This window comes from Homo sapiens, chromosome 11, assembly GCF_000001405.40.
Source record: "Homo sapiens chromosome 11, GRCh38.p14 Primary Assembly".
Taxonomy (NCBI): Eukaryota; Metazoa; Chordata; class Mammalia; order Primates; family Hominidae; genus Homo; species Homo sapiens.
The window spans coordinates 125,975,919-125,994,495 of record NC_000011.10 but is presented as its reverse complement, the minus strand read 5'-3'; the positions used below and the strand labels follow the sequence as shown (position 1 = coordinate 125,994,495).

The 18,577-nt window shown below is 38.9% G+C and overlaps 1 protein-coding gene across 13 annotated transcripts in view; it reads left to right on the top strand.

Moving 5' to 3' along the window:
* CDON (cell adhesion associated, oncogene regulated) overlaps window positions 1–18,577 on the top strand; it is a 106,515-nt gene that overhangs the window by 68,840 nt on the left and 19,098 nt on the right. For all 13 annotated transcript variants that reach the window (XM_017017873.2, NM_001441166.1, NM_016952.6 and 10 more), the window contains exons 14-18: window positions 107–212; window positions 4,737–4,859; window positions 10,403–10,624; window positions 13,167–13,447; window positions 16,113–16,192. In XM_017017873.2, coding sequence (XP_016873362.1) covers window positions 107–212; window positions 4,737–4,859; window positions 10,403–10,624; window positions 13,167–13,447; window positions 16,113–16,192 — 812 coding nt within the window. The remainder of the gene's footprint in view (window positions 1–106; window positions 213–4,736; window positions 4,860–10,402; window positions 10,625–13,166; window positions 13,448–16,112; window positions 16,193–18,577) is intronic.

Below are 18,577 nucleotides of genomic sequence, written 5' to 3'. Positions count from 1 at the left end.
GCAAAATGAACCTAGAAAAATGTGACCAAGTAGATAAAGAAACCTTAATGAATGAGAAGGTTACATTAATTTTTCTCTTTGACAAGTCTTTGCTTCTGTTTTTTAGTACATTCCATCAAGTAACAATAACACTCCCATTCAAGGATTTTATATCTATTACCGACCAACAGATAGTGACAATGACAGTGATTACAAGAGGGATGTTGTAGAAGGTAAGTCCCCTGGCACACTGGAGTCCCTGTAAAGGCGCTTTGGAGAAAGAAGGTTTATGAATATAAAATGCATCATCCCAAATTAAGACAGTACAAAATGGAATGGTGTATGTGTTATTGCTGTTGAATTTGTCCCAAAGAAAGCCACCTTTTCCCGCTTAATATATGCAGCACCTTATATTCTGGTTGCAGAAACTTGTACAAACATTTGGGGGAAATATGATTAATCAGTAGTAGTTCATCTGAAAGAAAATTTTGATTTCTGTTTCATTTAAATGAACAGTGACCTGAGTATAAAAATCCATTATAATGTCTAGCTACTTTAAAAAAATATTATCTCACTCATTTTCACTGGAGTCTGTCCTAGAAAGATGATGTCTTAAGCATCTTGCTCACTTGTAGAGATGCTGAGAAATTGGAATGCATGTAGAAAAGAAAGAAAACAGCTAAAATGGTGAAGAGTGTTGAAACTGCTTTTTTTTACTGCATTTAAATAGAATCCACAATTTTGCCTATGGCCTGAAGGCCCCACCTGACCTGGCTGGCCCCTGCCTACACCACGTCTCTTGCATCTCTCCCTTTCTGGCACTTCCTTCAGTTTCCTTGTGTGCACTGAGACGTTTTTGCCTCAGGACCTTGGCACAGGGTAGTTCCTGTTGCCTTTACCTAGTTGTGTGCACAGAAAAATTGTCCCACTTTTCAAAATGTTTGACAGTCAAGTTACAGGGAGTGAACTCTTCCCCATAACTTCCCCTCGGGTGACTTCCTCTCATTTGCATGAGAGGGTACCTTGCTGTAGTTTCTAACCATACCCTTTATGTTTATTTCATAGCAGTTATCAAAGTTTAAGCACGTGGTTGTGTGTGTGTGTGTGTGTGTGTGTGTGTGCACGCACGCGCGCATGTGTGTGTGAGAGACAGAGACTGTGTGTGTGTTTGAAACTATTTGCTTAAAGTCTGTCTCCTCTACTAGATGTTAACTCCCTTGTGAGCATAGGACCTTTTCTCCCACTGCTATGTCCAGCCCCTACAGTGGTGAGGTGGCCAGTATTGAATTCATGTATGAATGGAGTCCACAAAGAACAAGGGAATCTCTAACGATATTCAGGTTGAAAAAGACTAGCAGAAGCAACACGATAGCTACCTTCAGGTATTTACGGACTGTTATGTGGAAGAGGAGCTGAGTCAATTGGGGGAGGGGAAGTTGCAAGAAAGCAGCGTAAGAAAGAACTTTCTGACGTAGCATTTCTAGCATAGGTTCCCCCACAAAGTCGTAAACTCCCTAATGTTGGAAGTGCTCAATTGAAGCTGAATGCCCGCTTCTCAGTGACATCTTGGAAGGGATTCTTGCTTTGGGAGGAAGGCTTTTTCCAAGGTCTTTTTTGCACTCCAAGATTCTGATTCTTTGAAATAAGAAATGTCCTAGTGAATTATGTCAGAAAATTGCCATAGGCCAAGGTTATTTTCCATATGACTTCTTGACATGAAATACTGCATATAGTTTGTGTTATAATAAATTACATTATGCTGTATCACATTTCTTAAAATACTGTAGCAGTCCTTTTCATATTTATCCAGTGGAATGACTTTTGTAATATAATGAGAAATTTATGATCCAATTTTTAATGCTCAGCACATAGTAGGTGCTCAATAAATATTTTTTGAATGAGGGAATGATTGTTTCTTTTCTGCCATAACTTTTAGTGCCAAAACTATTCTGTGCTCTTAGGACTCACGATAGTAGCTGTCTCATGGGAAAGCAGAGCCTGGAAGGGGCATAAGGGGATGTTTGAGGTGGGGGGCTTTCCTGTGTTCTCTTTGTTGACTTAGATATGGGTACCATGAGCATGTCCAGCTTGTGAACATTCATTGAGCTGTACAGTTATGTAGACTTTTCTGTATGCATACTTTATGCCAGTAAAAAGCCTATTTTTAAAAAGAAATGGAAGGATAATATTTAGGTTGGTGCAAAAGTAAAAAGTAATTGCGGTCTTTGCCATTACTTTTAATGACAAAGACCGCAGTTACTTTTGCACCAACCTAATAGTGATTGTCCTCCATTTGGGGCCTGTCTAGGTCTTCCTTTTATTTCACTGGGTTTAGGGCAGTGGGGACGTCAGAATTTTATTTTAAGAATTTTTTGACAGAGGCTAAATATTTGCCATAAAATGGTTCTAAACAAGACATGTAAATAAAATGAGTATCTGTCTTTGTCTCTCTGTTTTTCTCTCTCTCATCATCATCACCCTTCTTGGTTCTATGTTCTAGAAATATCCACTAATAAACAGTTTTCCAACTATATTCTCTAGTCAAATCTTTGAGCTTTTACAAAATTCTGTAATATGCATATTGAGCATGGAAGTTGGAAATTAAGAAGCTTTTATATCTAGTAGTAGTGTCTGCAAATGTGAGTTTTGCCTTAGGTTCACAGAGCACTTGTTTATAAATGTAACATACTGAGCAGTTAGATGTTTAAGTGGACTTCACTATGCTGTGTAATTTGCTTATTCTATATTTTCAAGTTTATGCATTTGAAATTCTTTTTGTAGCAGTTGGAAACTATTGGTCTGTTCTCCAAATCACAGGAACAGAAGTATTCATCCTTTGTACTTAAAGTTTTTTTTTTTTAAGTTTTAGATGACTTGTGAATTGACCCAAAATTTAAACTTTTGAAAATAAAATTAAAAGTCAAATTGTAAAAGAGTACAGTAAGAGAAGGACAATTAAGCTATCCTATTTTCTGAATTAGGTTCCACATTTAGATAAACTATAAATGTTTCCAGCACACCTGTGTTTTGGTGTTGAATATTTTTATCTTCTAAAGTTAAGTCAATTCCAAGTAAAATATCAGTCATTCTGATCTTTAAGTCTGTGTTTTGGTTTCTCTCTGAGGTAAAGCCTTACCTTTTCTAAAATATCCTTTGGGAAAATAATTGCCTATTAATCAAAGGATACATGCTGGTTGGTCAGTTTTAAACCTAATGATGTACTTAGTTGTCTTATTCATCAATGATCAGTAAAATTATTTCTCTTTGCTGATATTTCCTATAATTTTAGCCAGTGGAAGAATAACTATAACAATGGAATATTAATCTAACAAGATATGTATCATTTTAACTATTTTTCTCTTCTTAGTAACATATCAGAAGCCTAGTTTAATGCCATTTTTATGAACGCTATGAAAGGAAAACTTCAAATCTAGTGTAGTAATTATTCAAGAGAATATTTATAGTGTAGGTGAGTGTAGGGCTGGGTTGGGAAAGACCCAAGACTACAAAAAAAGAAGTTTTTTGGAAAGCCTTTGGATTTCAGAGACAGATCTATTCCATTTTCAACCAGTTTTGGAGTCAACATCTTTTGGGGGGTCCTTTTTACATTTATAAATGGGGCGTAGAACTCCTCACTTTTGAGCCTTTCAGAGACGATCCTAAAACAAGCAGATTTTCTTCCTTAAAAAACGCGGGTCTGTACAAGTGAAGGGTTTTGTACTGTTGACCTGAAAAGAGGCTTGTACTTTCAGATTGAAATATTTTTGTCTGTGTTCAGTTAGAAAGGAGTCTGGCGATATTGGTCCTGTTCAGCCAAGTAGATTTAACTTGCATGTGTGGTTTTGTTTTGCTTTTTTTCTCCCCCTTTAATTAATTCTTAAATCAGTTGGGGGTATACTTGAGTTCCTAAGAAACAGTGGAGACAGTCTGAAGAGATGTTTCCACAAGGGATTAAGGGTGCTTGAAGAGTTAATTTAATCTGGCAAAAGTGTCCCTGCTTATGAAAGATTGTCACAGGTCCATGGAAGTCAACATGAAGAGTGATTTCTACTGGAGTGTTCAGTTTAGGAGTGTTTCTAAATGAAATGTTGGCTGTGTGCCACGGATAACAGAATCATTCTGCTAGAGATACTTGTGTGGTTTGGAGATCTTGACTCAAAAGAAAAGCAGGAGTGGGGGTGGTGGCCAAGAGTTTCCCAGAGTAGATTTTGCTTTTTGGTGATCCTCAGCAGTTTATTCAGGCATTCGGTCATATGTCAGTTCACGTTGCATCCATGACAGTGGAATTGGGAGCTTTGCTAAGGCCATTCTTGTAACTGGTCAGTTGCTCTGGGTAGTGTACCTTTTGCTGGTCCCAAATGTCCTGTTGCTTTTTGGTGGGGGAACATGGATTGACTTGCTGGGTTAAGATAGGGATGAAAGGACTTGGGCTTTCTTTCCTATGCATGAAATTAACATGTATTTTATGAAAGACTCCCACTAATTATTTTTAGTGAAACAAGTATTATTGCCAACACACAGATATAGTTTTAGGTCAGTTTATCTCCTCTCTTTACCTTTTTTTCATGCCGTGTAATAGAAATGCTGTTTATCTGTGGTGCATTAGTCAAATACTTACTATTAAGTACATTTTTATTGCACAAACTACTGGATGGTAGTGGATGCTGCTCCAGCCTCATCCTGAAAACATTAACTAATTATATTGACATTATCATTTAGGCTGTATGATGTGTAAAGCCTTTTATTTTTCCTTTTAGGTTCAAAGCAGTGGCACATGATTGGCCACCTGCAGCCAGAAACCTCCTATGACATTAAAATGCAATGCTTCAATGAAGGAGGAGAAAGTGAATTTAGCAATGTGATGATCTGCGAGACTAAAGGTAGGAGAATTTTTGCTTTTCCCTGGACAGTGATAGAATTCCAACCCTGGATTACTGCTTCTGACTACTGATATATTCTGGGTTTTGTTTTGTCTTGTTTTGAGACACGGTCTCACTCTGTCACCCAGGCTGGAGTGCAGTGGTACAATCTCAACTCGCTGCAACCTCCACCTCCTGGGTTCAAGTGATTCTCATGACTCAGCCTCCCAAGTAGCTGGGGCTGCAGGTGCGCACCACCACGCCTGGCTAATTTTTGTAATTTTAGTAGAGATGGGGTTTCACCATGTTGGCCAAGCTGGTCTCGAACTCCTGGCCTCAGGTGATGTACCCACCTGGGCTTCCCAAAGTGCTAGGATTACAGGCGTGAGCCACCGTGCCTGGACATGACTATTGATGTATTTGCCTAAGGAAGTTTCTGCTTTGGACCATTTTCTAGGTGCATACACTTAGACTGTCCCAACAAATGTATAATATGTGGGCTAGAATGCTTGTTTAAAAAATAGTTTACATAATCATTAATCCTGTTCATTAGTTTCTGTGTGACTCTAAGTAAATCACCTCCCTTCCCTTTTCTTTATTTTTATTTTATTTTATTTTTTTTAGAGACGGCATCTCACTGTGTTGCCCAGGCTGGTCATGAACCCTTCCGTTTTTCTTTACAAAGATATTAGAAATATTTGTTGACTACTTTCTAGATTGCTGTGAGAATGAGAATACTAACAAAAGTTTAAGAATATTAAGGAGAAGTGCAACATATGTTAAAGGTGGTTTCTTGAATGACAGATATGTAACTTCTATCTACTTGTTTAATTAAGTGTAGTAAAGTTTAGAATTAGCAGTTGCTGATTCTAAATTGAACATTCTCAACTCTGCCTACATAGGTAGATTCACTGTCAAATGTTGCCGTCTTTAAGAAGAGAAGACACCACAGGGGAACAATAGAAATAGCTCATTAGATGTTTACGAGCAAAACCACTCGTCCACAGTCTCAGTTAATCTTCACAACAACTTTGAGAATACTGTCAACTGCAAGGAACACGACAATCTCCTCTCAGTAGGCTTCAACAGTGAGGAAATGTGTTATCCCCAAAATAAGCAGCCCAGAAGTAGGTAACTAACTCCAACGTTGTTAGTTCAGGAGGCTGAGACAGGAGAATCGCTTGAGCCTGGAAGGTAGAGGTTGCAGTGAGCCAAGATCGGGCCACTGCACTCCAGTCTGGGCGAGAGAGTGAGACCTTGTCTCAAAAGAAAAAAAAATTCATTTTTTTCTGTCTTTCCTGTTCGTCATGTTCCCATTGCCACCTTGGCTCTAAGACTAGCACTGCTGATAGCTCGCCACAGTTCTGGGCATCACCTTTAAAGTGTTATCATATCTGACCGTGTCTATTTTCAGGAACAAGGAAAATTTCCCCCAACGTCCTCTACTAGATCTTCCCACCAGTCTCATTAGCCACAATTCAGCCCCACACAGCCCCTAAACCATTGACCAGATTTATCCCAGAGTTCTGTGGGGTTGAGGTAGACACCCAAACAAAATTGGAGCTCTCGTAACATGATAAAGAAGGCTGTTGAGTGAGCTGGGCAGCCATCAGGGTCTCTACAGGTGATCTTATTATTCCTTTTTAAAAATGAGGACATGAAAAAGTACGTTTTTAAAAAATGAGGAAATGGAGGCTCCAAAAGATTGAATGATAAGCCAAGGCTTAGTTCCAGCTTTTAAACTCTAAACCATGTGTGTTTCTGCTGCAATACTCACATCTTAAGCCCATATTTAAACATATATCCATATACCTTTAGACTTACCTTGAATTTCATTTGTTTAGCATATATTTGAGTGCCTTTTTGGACCAGACGCTGTGATGTGTTCATGGGATACTTGGAGTAAAGTTAAATAAAAATGAAATTTATCATCTCTGTCCCCAGGACATTTAAGAATCTAGCCAGACAAAACATAAAACATTATAACTGTTATTTATAATAGTATAATAGTATAGCTGTGATTACAATAGTATACCTCATTTTCTGACATCAGTAGGGAATGAAAAGGTTCTACCTACAGACTTTCAGGTCAGTGGAAAACAAAAAACATCTTTGAAATGTTAACTATTCATATTGAATGACTTTTACGTAATTACATATTACATAATTCCCAGCCTGTTTACATGGAAGATCTCATGTGTACTTCAACCTTTAAAAAATGACTGTAGGTTCTTGTGAACAATGACGGTTTTATCTTGAGTAATTGAGGAAGGTTTTCAGGGATGACAGAGGCGCTGAAGCCTGGCCGTTTTCCCTTCCCACCGAAGATCAGAGACTGCTGTGATGTTTCTTTTAGTTCTTTGGCTTCTCTTTATGTTTTTCATCTCACCTTTCTTTTTTCAGGCTGTTAGCTGTCTCTTCCTATCAGTGTTAATGGATCTCACTCACCCTTCAGTGCAAGCCATCTGTCCTCAGTTTTTAACTTTAGCAAGGGGTTGGAAACCAGATCATGAAGCTTGGTAGAATTACAAATGAATTAAGAATAAAGAAAGAGTGATTAAACCTGATGGACTTCCCTAGGAGTAATCATGATCTTTAATATATGATACGGAATATCCATTGTGCCTCAGAAACTCTTTTGTTTTCTTTAGGGTTGACCAGGACATAGAATTGTATAATCTAACATACCACCTCAAGTAGAAATTTCCTTTAGCATCTCTGCCAAGTGTTCATCCAGCTTTCAATAAGAGAAAACACCTTCTCTTGAAAGATGACTTCTTTTCTCTTGAAAGATGACTTCTTTTCTCATTCCCAGCTCTGTTTTGTGTGGTTGATGCTGCTAGAAAATTGAACCCCAAGTTAATGTTTGTTGAATAGATTTTTTTTTTTTTTGAGATGGAGTCTCACTCTGTCGCCCAGGGCTGGAGTGCAGTGGTGTGATCTTGGCTCACTGCAATCTCTGCCTCCCAGGTTCAAGTTATTCTCCTGCCTCAGCCTCCCAAGTAGCTGGGACTACAGGCACATGCCACCAAGCCTGGCTAATTTTTTGTATTTTTAGTAGAGATGGGGTTTCACCGTGTTAGCCAGGATGGTCTCGATCTCCTGACCTCGTTATCCGCCCAGCTCCGCCTCCCAAAGTGCTGGGACTACAGGCGTGAGCCACTGCACCCAGCCAAGTAGATTTTTATTTTTAATTTTCTTTCCTGGTTTTTCCTCTTTTTTTTAAATTATACTTTTAAGTTCTAGGGTACATGTGCACAACGTGCAGGTTTGTTACATACATATACATGTGCCGTGTTGGTTTGCTATACCCATTAACTCATCATTCCTAATGCTACCCCTCCCACATCCCCTCCCCCCATGACAGGCCCCAGTGTGTGATGTTCCCCGCCCTGTGTCCGAGGGTTCTCATTGTTCAATTCCCACCTATGAGTGAGAACATGCAGTGTTTGGTTTTGCTCAGAATGATGGTTTCCAGCTTCATCCATGTCGCTACGAAGGACATGAACTCATCCTTTTCATGGCTGCATAGTATTCCATGGTGTATATGTGCCACATTTTCTTAATCCAGTCTATCATTAGTGGACATTTGGGTCAGTTCCAAGTCTTTGCTATTGTGAATAGTGCCGCACTAAACATACGTGTGCATGTGTCTTTATAGTAGAATGATTTATAATCCTTTGGGTATATACCCAGTAATGGGATTGCTGGGTCAAATGGTATTTCTATTTCTAGATCCTTGAGTAATCGCCACACTGTCTTCCAGAATGGTTGAACTAGTTTACACTTCCACCAACAGTGTAAAAGCATTCCTATTTCTCCACATCCTCTCCAGCACCTGTTGTTTGCTGACTTTTTAATGATCGCCATTCTAACTGGTGTGAGATGGTATCTCATTGTGGTTTTGATTTGCATTTCTTTGATGACCAGAGATGATGAGCATTTTTTCATGTGTCTGTTCAACTGAGTAGATTTTTAAAAAGCTGCTTTGCTTCTGTGGTTTGTTGGCACCATAACAGGAGATTCGGTATAATAAGCAATAATAACAGCAGAATTGATTGACCACCACTCTGAGCCAGGCTCTAAGTGCTTTCCATGGCTTAACTCATTTACCCTTCATTACCACTAGATAATTGACAGAGCTCTTACTAATATCCCCATTTCAAAATGTAAAAACTAGCTAGGCACGGTGGCTTACGCCTGTAATCCTAGCACTTTGAGAGGCCAAGGCGGGCGGATCACTTGAGGTCATCAGGAGTTTGAGACCAGCCTGGCCAATATGTTGAGACCCTGTCTGTACTAAAAATATCAAAAAAATTATCCGTGCGTGGGGGCACATGTGTGTAATCCCAGCTACCTGGGAGGCTGAGGCAGGAGAATCGCTGGAACCTGGGAGACGGGGCTGCAATGAGCTGAGATCACACCATTGCACTCCAGCCTGGGCGACAGGGTGAGACTTTGTCTCAAAAAATAAAAAATAAATAAAAACTGAGGTTTTGGAGGTAAAAATCATACAGCTAATGATAAGTGGAGGTGAGGTGTAAACATAGGCTGTGTGCTTCCAGAGACTGGCACCAACCACTTTGCTCTACTGCTTTTCTGTGACATTTAGAGACTTAAGAACATATGATTTGGGAATGAGAGAATGAGGTTTGAGTCCCACCTGTTACTAGCTTTCGTTATCGCTATTACCCAGAACACCGATGAACCGGGTAAAAGTACTGCACCTACACGGGCTCCAAAGTCTTTGTTTTTGGAATGCTTAATACTATGTGTGAGGTTTTGGAATGTCATTTTTCTAGTAGTCCAAAGCTATAACTTCTAATATTGGTAGTGAATTTTATATACATGGTAGAAGCATAAAATATGTAATCCTGAGTCTTGTTTAGCTCAAAGTGTATCTGACAGAAAGGAGTTTTTGTTCCATCCATAAGTAGAAATACTTTTTTTTTTTTTTTTTTGAGACAGAATCTCACTCTGTCTTCCAGGTTGAAGTGCAGTGGCGTGATCTGGGCTCACTGCAACCTCCTTCTCCCGGCTTCAAGCAATTCTCCTGCCTCAGCCTCCCCAGTAGCTGGGATTACAGGCACCCACCGCCACGCCCAGCTAATTTTTGTATTTTTAGTAGACACGGGGTTTCCCTGTGTTGCTCAGGCCGTTCGCAAACTCCTGAGCTCAGACAGTCTGCTCACCTCGGCCTCCCAAAGTGCTGGGATTACAGGCGTGAGCCACCACGCCCGGCCTAAGTGGAAACACTTTTATTTCAACTCTGGGAGTTTTCTCCAAGTACAGTTAAGCAGATAATCATATAGCAGTTTGGATTAGACCAAGTGCATATGTTCCTTTGCCTTTAGGATTTCTCTAAAGTTTGTGGACTAAAACTTTGGCACATCAAGTTTTTAAACTTTGGAGCCCTCTTTGTGACTCATTGGTGGTCAGGTCATCTCAGTAACAAGAGTAAACAGACTGGCTTGCATTCCTAACCAGACCTCCTTCAGAGAGTAAACCATTTCATGGAGTCTGTATTCACTCTGACATCATGTTTTCCTTTATATTTCAACTAGTGAAACGTGTTCCTGGAGCTTCTGAATATCCTGTCAAAGACTTGAGTACCCCTCCAAATTCTTTGGGAAGTGGAGGAAATGTGGGGCCTGCAACCAGCCCTGCCAGAAGCAGTGACATGTTATATCTGATCGTTGGCTGTGTGCTGGGCGTCATGGTCCTCATTCTGATGGTTTTCATTGCAATGTGCCTGTGGAAGAATCGCCAGCAGAATACCATACAAAGTAAGTCACTCATAAATATCTCCTTCTCTTTTTCTAAAGGTGGGTAGACAAATATTGTCAGAATAAATATTGATTTCTAACACTGTTGTATATTAGTGTCATGGTATGAAACACATTAGATACTCTTCATTCAGAGGAGATGACTTTAAAACTGTTCTAGCTGTCAGCCAGAGTAAGTGGAGCATCAAATTAAATTGCCCAGCAGACATAAACACCAAAGCCAAAACTAAGCAGGTCTCTAAGTAAATAGCTGACTTATTGCTGGGAAACTCCGGCTTTGTTGGACCACCAAAGAGGACGCATATTTGAAGCCTGAGCTCTGGAATTGCTGTAGGAACACCTTTACACTGGTACAGAGCTTGTCAACAGGGAATAGAAAAGCCATGATGGAAAGCAGGTAGTGAAAACTTGTCTAAGTCACTGTCACTGAATGACACTTCACCGATGAGGATAACGCAGCCCTGTTTCTGTACCTGATGGACTCAAGACTGCTCCAGCATGGCGTCCTCTCCCTGGAGTGTGTCTAGGAATACGTGTGCTTGAACATCGATGATGGCCCTGCTTTGAAATAACAGTGAAGTAACCTAGAACCCCCTTTCTCTTTTCTCTTCCTTCAGTTCTCTTCACCTCACTGTCCTACTTTTCCTGTTATCTCAGCTATTATAAAATAGGGTAATCAAATCAAGCAGAGAGTTTAGTCTTTGGTGGGAGGAAGTTTTTTGGTTTCCCCTTTGGCTCCAGAATAAGGAAATGAAAGAAAAGTGAGGGAGGACCCCAGCAGGCACTTCCAGTGGCTGTTAGCCAGTTCTCACGCATGCTCCCCTTTTAGTTACCAGTTCTGGGGGAAGAAAGTACTCTGTTTGTATTGAATGATGCCTTCCAAGAGATAGGGGGAGAGATGGTGGCTGCATCAGGCTGAAATGGATGGTGATCATTTGATTTTCTAAGTGGTTTTAATGCCATCGCCTTTAATTGTGTGAGTGCGTGTTGAATCATGAAAAGAGAAGTATTAATCTGAAAGGGATGGTGATCATTTGATTTTCTAAATGGTTTTAATGCCATTGCCTTTAATTGTGTGAGTGCGTGTTGAATCATTAAAAGAGAACATTAATCTGGTCGTCCCAGCCATATTAATCAGATTAAAGTCATCCTACTTTGTGACCTGATAATGTTTAAAAATGGAAAATTCTCATGGTGGTGTTCATTCAGTCATTTATTCAAAAGATAATCATCGTCTTCTGTATACCAGGCACTGTTCTGGACAGTGGAGATGTAATGGTAAATAAAATAAACACCACCTCTGCCCTCTCAAAGTGTGTAGCTTAGTGAGACCACAAGCAGGTGTACTGAGACTACACACCTGGGCGAGAGCACACAGTAATGTGGGCAGCTAAGGAAAGGAGGGACACCTAATCCAGCCTTGGCAAGCTCTCCTACCTTCGAAGAATTTATCCAGACTCCAACAACAAATCCTGTACAGTTTGGACACTCTAGTTTCTAAGAGATACTTTACTTTTTCTAAATATATCTGGTAGATGTGCCTCTGGAAATCAGTTTTGAGGCAGTCATTTGTATGCTTTTAATAGAAGAAAATAGAAGGCTGGGCGGAGTGGCTCACGCCTGTAATCATAGCACTTTGGGAAGCCGAGGTGGGCGGATCACGAGGTCAGGAGATCGAAACCAACCTGGCTAGCACGGTGAAACCCTGTCTCTACTAAAAATACAAAGAATTAGCCGGATGTGGTGGCACGCACAAGCTACTTGGGAGGTTGAAGCAGGAGAATTGCTTGAACCCGGGAGGCAGAGGTTGCAGTGAGCCAAGATCACGCCATTGCACTCCAGCCTGGGCAACAAGAGCGAAACTCCATCTCAAAAAAAAAAAAAAAAAAAAAAAAAAAAAAGAAAATAGAATCACTTTTTGCCTTTGGTACTCCACACCTTCCAAATTGGCTGTAATGACTAAGGAGCTATATGAATGATCAGTGACTGTATATACAACTCCATCCTTTTACTTAACAGAGTTGTTTATTGCTACTTGAAATACCCCACCTAAAGCTAGTCTTTTGTTGTCATTTTATGCAGTTTTTTTCAGCACTTAGAAGTATAATATATAGGAGTTTAAGCACTTTTTCCTAGTATTGCCAGTACTCTGATAGTTTCAGCTTGCCCAATATATTCATTCTCTTTTGAGTAATTTCTCCCTAGGTGATTTTTCTTCCCGTTAACAGAATCATAATTAACTCAGAGTTCACAGCTATCTCTACACTCTATGGAAAATAATAGCAGTAACTTTATTAAAGCATGTCTTACAAGTAGGCTTTAAGTGAACATTTTAAAAATGTTTTTATTTTAGTCTATTTGTAGTTTCGTAGGGGTTTTATCTGTAAGACCTTCTCAGCAAGAAGATTGTCCTTTTTAGTGTCTTACTGTGTGCGTGTGTGCGTGTGTGCGTATGTGCATGTGTGCATGCGTGTGTGCGTATGTGCATGTGTGCGTGCGTGTGTGTGTGTGCGTGTGTGTCTTTTTTGTTCTCTTTTAACAGAATATGACCCACCAGGATATCTCTACCAAGGATCAGATATGAACGGGCAGATGGTGGACTACACCACTCTCTCAGGAGCAAGTCAGATAAATGGAAATGTTCACGGAGGCTTCCTAACCAATGGCGGTCTCAGCAGTGGCTATTCCCACCTTCACCATAAGGTCCCCAATGCAGTCAATGGAATTGTGAATGGGAGCCTAAATGGAGGGCTTTACTCCGGGCACAGCAACTCTCTAACCAGGACACACGTGGATTTTGAACATCCTCATCATCTAGTGAATGTAAGAGACCTAACTATAAATAAAAGCCCCTCTGTCCCTCAGGGTGCCAAGTACTAGAACAGGGACAGCATGCTTGGCTTTGTTCAGTATAGAAACCTCACAAGTTTCCTCGAATGGAAACAGCATGGATCACTGGCAGCCCTTTGATCCAGAGTAGTCTTTGTAAGTTGTTTTCTATTGCCAGGTAATAGTTATGTTCATCAGTTTAGTTTCATTTTAAAATTATTTAACACTGAAAGTGGAATACCAGCAGTGAACAGACTGGAAGTTGTTCTTTAGATGAAATGGAAATACCAAATACTTTAAATTTGATTTATCGAGAGCAGGGTCTTGAAAATGCAAATGCCGAAAAGAGTCAGGCAGATCAGGAAATTGTGGGAGTGAGATGGTAGCACTGGAGGCGATGGCCACCTGGAGAGCACAGACAGTGTCTTCAGGAAGCAGCCGCGGTTTGACACTTACAGTCGTCATGGACTGAGGGCGCAGTGTTGCCAAATTTTCTGATTTTTCAAAACCTCTGTAAATCCAAGTGAAATTGACAGATTTTTACATGCTGGCACCTAATTCAAATTTTTGAAAACATACGTAGGCCATGCCAAACATCTCTGCAGGCCACCGGGTTGTGACTTCTGACCTTTCATGGGCTTCTTTTGTTTGTTTTGCCCAATATGTTTTGTTGTTGTGGCTGGTAAGCTTTTTACATTTTACAATGTTAGTATTCTTTAGCCACACAAAGAGTGATAAACCCTTAAGACAACCTTATTTCAGAGATAACTAGTTGATAGCGTTTAATTTTTGAAATGGTAGTAGAATGACTAGCATATTTTAGACTTACGTGGGGTTCTCTGCACTAGAAAGTTTGATTTATGACATTGTTTGGATGCACATCTATATTACTTTTGATCAAATAGATAATTTGTTTAATTGATGGAATTAAGCATTCAGTTTTTGTCATTGTTCTGATTACAAATAAATTTACCATGACCCACAATGTGCTACAATTTGAAGAAGCTTAGAGTTTTTTTTCCCCCCATCTTCAGTTTATTAAAGATTTATTAAAATCTATTTGGAGAACAAAACTAATATATACTCATATTTTAAAGCTAGAAATTGAATAGCTTTTATGTGACCTAGCTTTTGTATGTTGTGGAAGAAATATTAATTTGCTTTAATGCATCTCATTACTAAAAGAGAATCATGATTTCACTATTTTGTGTGGAAAGATACAGCATGTATTCAGACTTTCTAAGCTTTTTTGGTCACCATTCCTAGTCCAAACTACTACCATTGTCCAAGAAAACTGAAGGAGAGAGCATTAACATTTGAATAGCACACACTGTTTCCATAAGAAGAAAACATAAGGCCCATGTTCGCTTTAGTGTTTGAACACGGAACCTTGGGTTTTTTGAACAATGAATTTCTATTTAAATAATAGGTGCCCCATTTGGTGTACAATGTCAGAAGTTATCTGTGATTCTAAATTATTCGTTTTCTTACTTTTCTGGGTGGGGGAAATAGAGAAATTTTAACAGTGTTAGTGACCCTAAAAATCATTGCACTAACTTCAACGTGTTGAGGGATTCAGAGAATCCGTAAGTCACAACGTTACCCTGCAGGTTGTGAACTTCATTTTCTGAGCCTTTCAGGTTTTCCCTCAGATGGAATATAGTATAGGAGAGTTCTTTCTCTCGATATGTTCTTAATAATTCCTGTTGCTGGTTGGATCAGAAACACTGAAGGAAATTTTCAGGACTTTTGGTTTGCTTAGATTCTGGCTACTGTTATGAAATGAATGGAAATGGAAAGTATTCTAGGAAAAACAATTGCCTGAACTTTTCCTAACCTTGAAGGCCTGCTTTGGGTTTGGGTGCAGTGTGACAGCCTCTCCCACCTTTTATCAAATTCAGTTCTGCTGTTTTTCTTCTGAAAGCAGAATTCTGCCTCTGACTATCAGGCTAGTTTAATTTTTAACTTCATTTTTGAAGAACCTTGCTGTCTGTCAAGTGAACATTTTACAATGAGGTATGTGTTAATCTGGGCATTTTTCTTAATTGCTGGGCAGTTTCCGCCAAAAGCAACATCCAAATATTAACACACCCCCTCCAAGTCATTGCTGGCTGAAGATCTACTCCATCTGGAAAAATATAGCATGCTTTAAAACTTAGCGTTGTCAAGTGAACAGACCTAATTGAAATAATTACAGGAAAATGAAGATGAGTTTATCATGTGACATCATCTACACAGGTTTTACACCCTGTTTCTCCAACTGGTATCACATGAAATTCTTCCCTGACTGCCAAGAAAGGGAAAATGAATGGAGGCTATAACATATAATGTATTTTGAGCCCACTAGATTTGAAGGGAAGTGACTAAACTTTTCCCTTCATTTATTTACCTTTGTCTAGTACAGAAATACGTAGGAAAACATGGCAGTGAAGTTTTTGGAATACAGTTAAATCTAATGCAGAACTCTCATTCACTCCTTTGTGAATATGGGTCAGTGATATTCACAATGACGTTGCTCTGGGAGTTGGTTAGAATATACTGTGTGCCCATTTATGGTTGACATGGCTCATGTGTATTTGTGATTATTTGGCTACTGGTCTGTGAGTACCTTCAGCATTCCTTCTTCTTTTCTTTTTCTCTGACACTCCTTCCTGTCCAGGGTGGTGGAATGTACACGGCCGTGCCTCAGATTGACCCTCTGGAGTGTGTTAACTGCCGAAATTGTCGAAACAACAATAGGTATGTTAATAATGTGTCTGCACAAGCTGTTGTGAATAAGGCATATGCATCCTTTTATTTTTCCCTTCAGCAAAGAAAGTTCTTGGAATTTTACCTAGGATATAAAGTTCAGGATTTGCAATCTTAAATTTAAAGCTGTTACTAATTTTTTGCCTCTGCTTTCCAATTTTTGTCTTTTTGTGCCTCGGTTTCTTCAGCTATATAGAAACCATCTTAAAGGCTCTATTTGTCACTGAAATATTATTATAAGGCTTAATGTTTTTGAAAATTTTAAATTAGAGTCATTCTCTGTTATAAAGACTTTATCTTTTCTCACCTTTTATTTTCTACTCTATGTTATGGGATGTTATGAGGATGAATGACAGTGTTTCTGAGTGTTGGGGGGAGGGGGGAACCCTCTGTATATAGTAATTTTTTTCACAGTAATGTTACTGAAATTTTCCTACCAGATTATCCAGTGTTTTTTTTTAATTCTTAAAATCTTAAGAAAATTAAGCAGCAAACCCTTGCTTTGAATTTTGTGTTTTAATTTTAAAAGTGGTATGTACTCACAATATTTCAAACAAGATAGAAATATGGAGAGCAATGTGCATTTAACACATAGGATACTCGGCACACTTTCCTACGACCTCTCTCTATGGTAATCCCAAGGATTACCAAGCTTTTTGTTGTATTAAAGTTGTTTCAGAAATCTTAGTTCTTTCTTTTACATAATGATGTTATTGAATTACATGGTGTCAAAAGTCCTTCCTTCTCAGTCCTAAAACTCTACAACCAAAAAGATTATGTCATAGTTAGTACATAAAATAACTGGAGTATGGGTGGGAGTTTAGATATTTTATTATTGAAATGATGTTTGACCTATATATTTAAAATGGATTAACAGGTTAAGAGTTGTCTCTGGGAGTTATTGAAACCAGAACTTGAAGAAGGATCAGGCCAACCATCAAATTAAAAATACGTTGTTCCAGCCTGTGTTTTGAGAGTTGCAGAACAAAAGCAACAGAGCTTCTTGGAGATTGTTTGTTATCATTTACTTAACCCATTTCAGGGTGTCTATAAAAGAGCCATCTGCTTCTTTTATGTACTAAGGTTTGCTTGTTACGTATTTAAATTCTATATGACCCTGGTTTTGCAAATGTTCATAACATTGAAACCACATTTTTGTCTTGAGCTTTTCATGGACTTTACCGTAGTTTGTTAGGCAACGTGCTAAAGACCTGGTAAAGGTGGTTCATGTACCTGGCGAGTAATCAGACGGATTTAGTTACAAGTGGTCTTGCTTAAAATTTTAACGTGTTTTCTTTTGTGGTTCTTGGTCATCAGCAGATCTTGGTTCTCCTGGACAATAGAATGGTATAACGACAGGATCTCTGGTCTAAGAATAAGTAGACCTGGGCTGTGACATAGCTTAAACCTGTGATCTTGCGAAAGTAACGTAATGTTTCTGAAGCTATTTCCTTAACTAAAAAGGGGAAAATTGTCCTAGGTAATGTAAGATTGCTCCCAACATAATCTGACGGTAGTCTCTGGCAATTTCCTGCCAATCATGTCTTTTTGATGAAGTATCATCTTAATATCAAGAATGCATCCCATTTCCTTAGAAGGACTTATATGACCTCTGCCATTTAAATGACCTTGGCTTTGTGGCTATTTGTATGTGTAGTGTGTGTGTGTGTGTGTGTTTGTGTGTGTGTGTGCATGTGTGTGTATGTAGTATTTTAGTATTTTCAAGTTTTTATTATACAGTTTTTTTTTCCTTTAAGACAATGAACAATTGTATTTCTATTAATTTTCAAGTTAATGACTTACTACATTTCATGTGTGTGGGTTTTACTGTTATCTGGGAATTTAGGTGAATTCTCTTCAGCTTGGAACACCAGATTCTTTTTCTTCCTGGTTTCAATTTTCTTCCTCATGAGAATCTGCCTGTTTAGTGCAAGTCTTTACTTGCCTGCATTGCCTTCAAGGTTAGCCAGTGTCTCACCTGGCTCCCAGGAGCAACTGTATGATTTTGACACTCAATAATTGGACAGATAAGTATCAATAAGTACCTACCTTCAGCTCTAGAAAATTTGAATTATTAAATTTAAAGATTTTAAGTCTTTTCACTTTGGAATTGAGAACAGGTATCTCCTCTTAAGATCTTACAAATGACAAAATTTGTAAAAAGCTGTGAATGCCGAAAGGTAGATGATACGTGGTTTACTCTCAAAATATAGAAAATTATAGTCAATTTATGCTTTTAGAATATCGACATTGTTACTATGAATGAGTTTGCATTTCTGAATATCAGCTGAAATAGTGTAAACATAAAAAGAAGCGTGATTTCAGTTAAGTTATATGAGGGCTATCAAGTGGGCCTCATATGATTTTTGGCTGTTC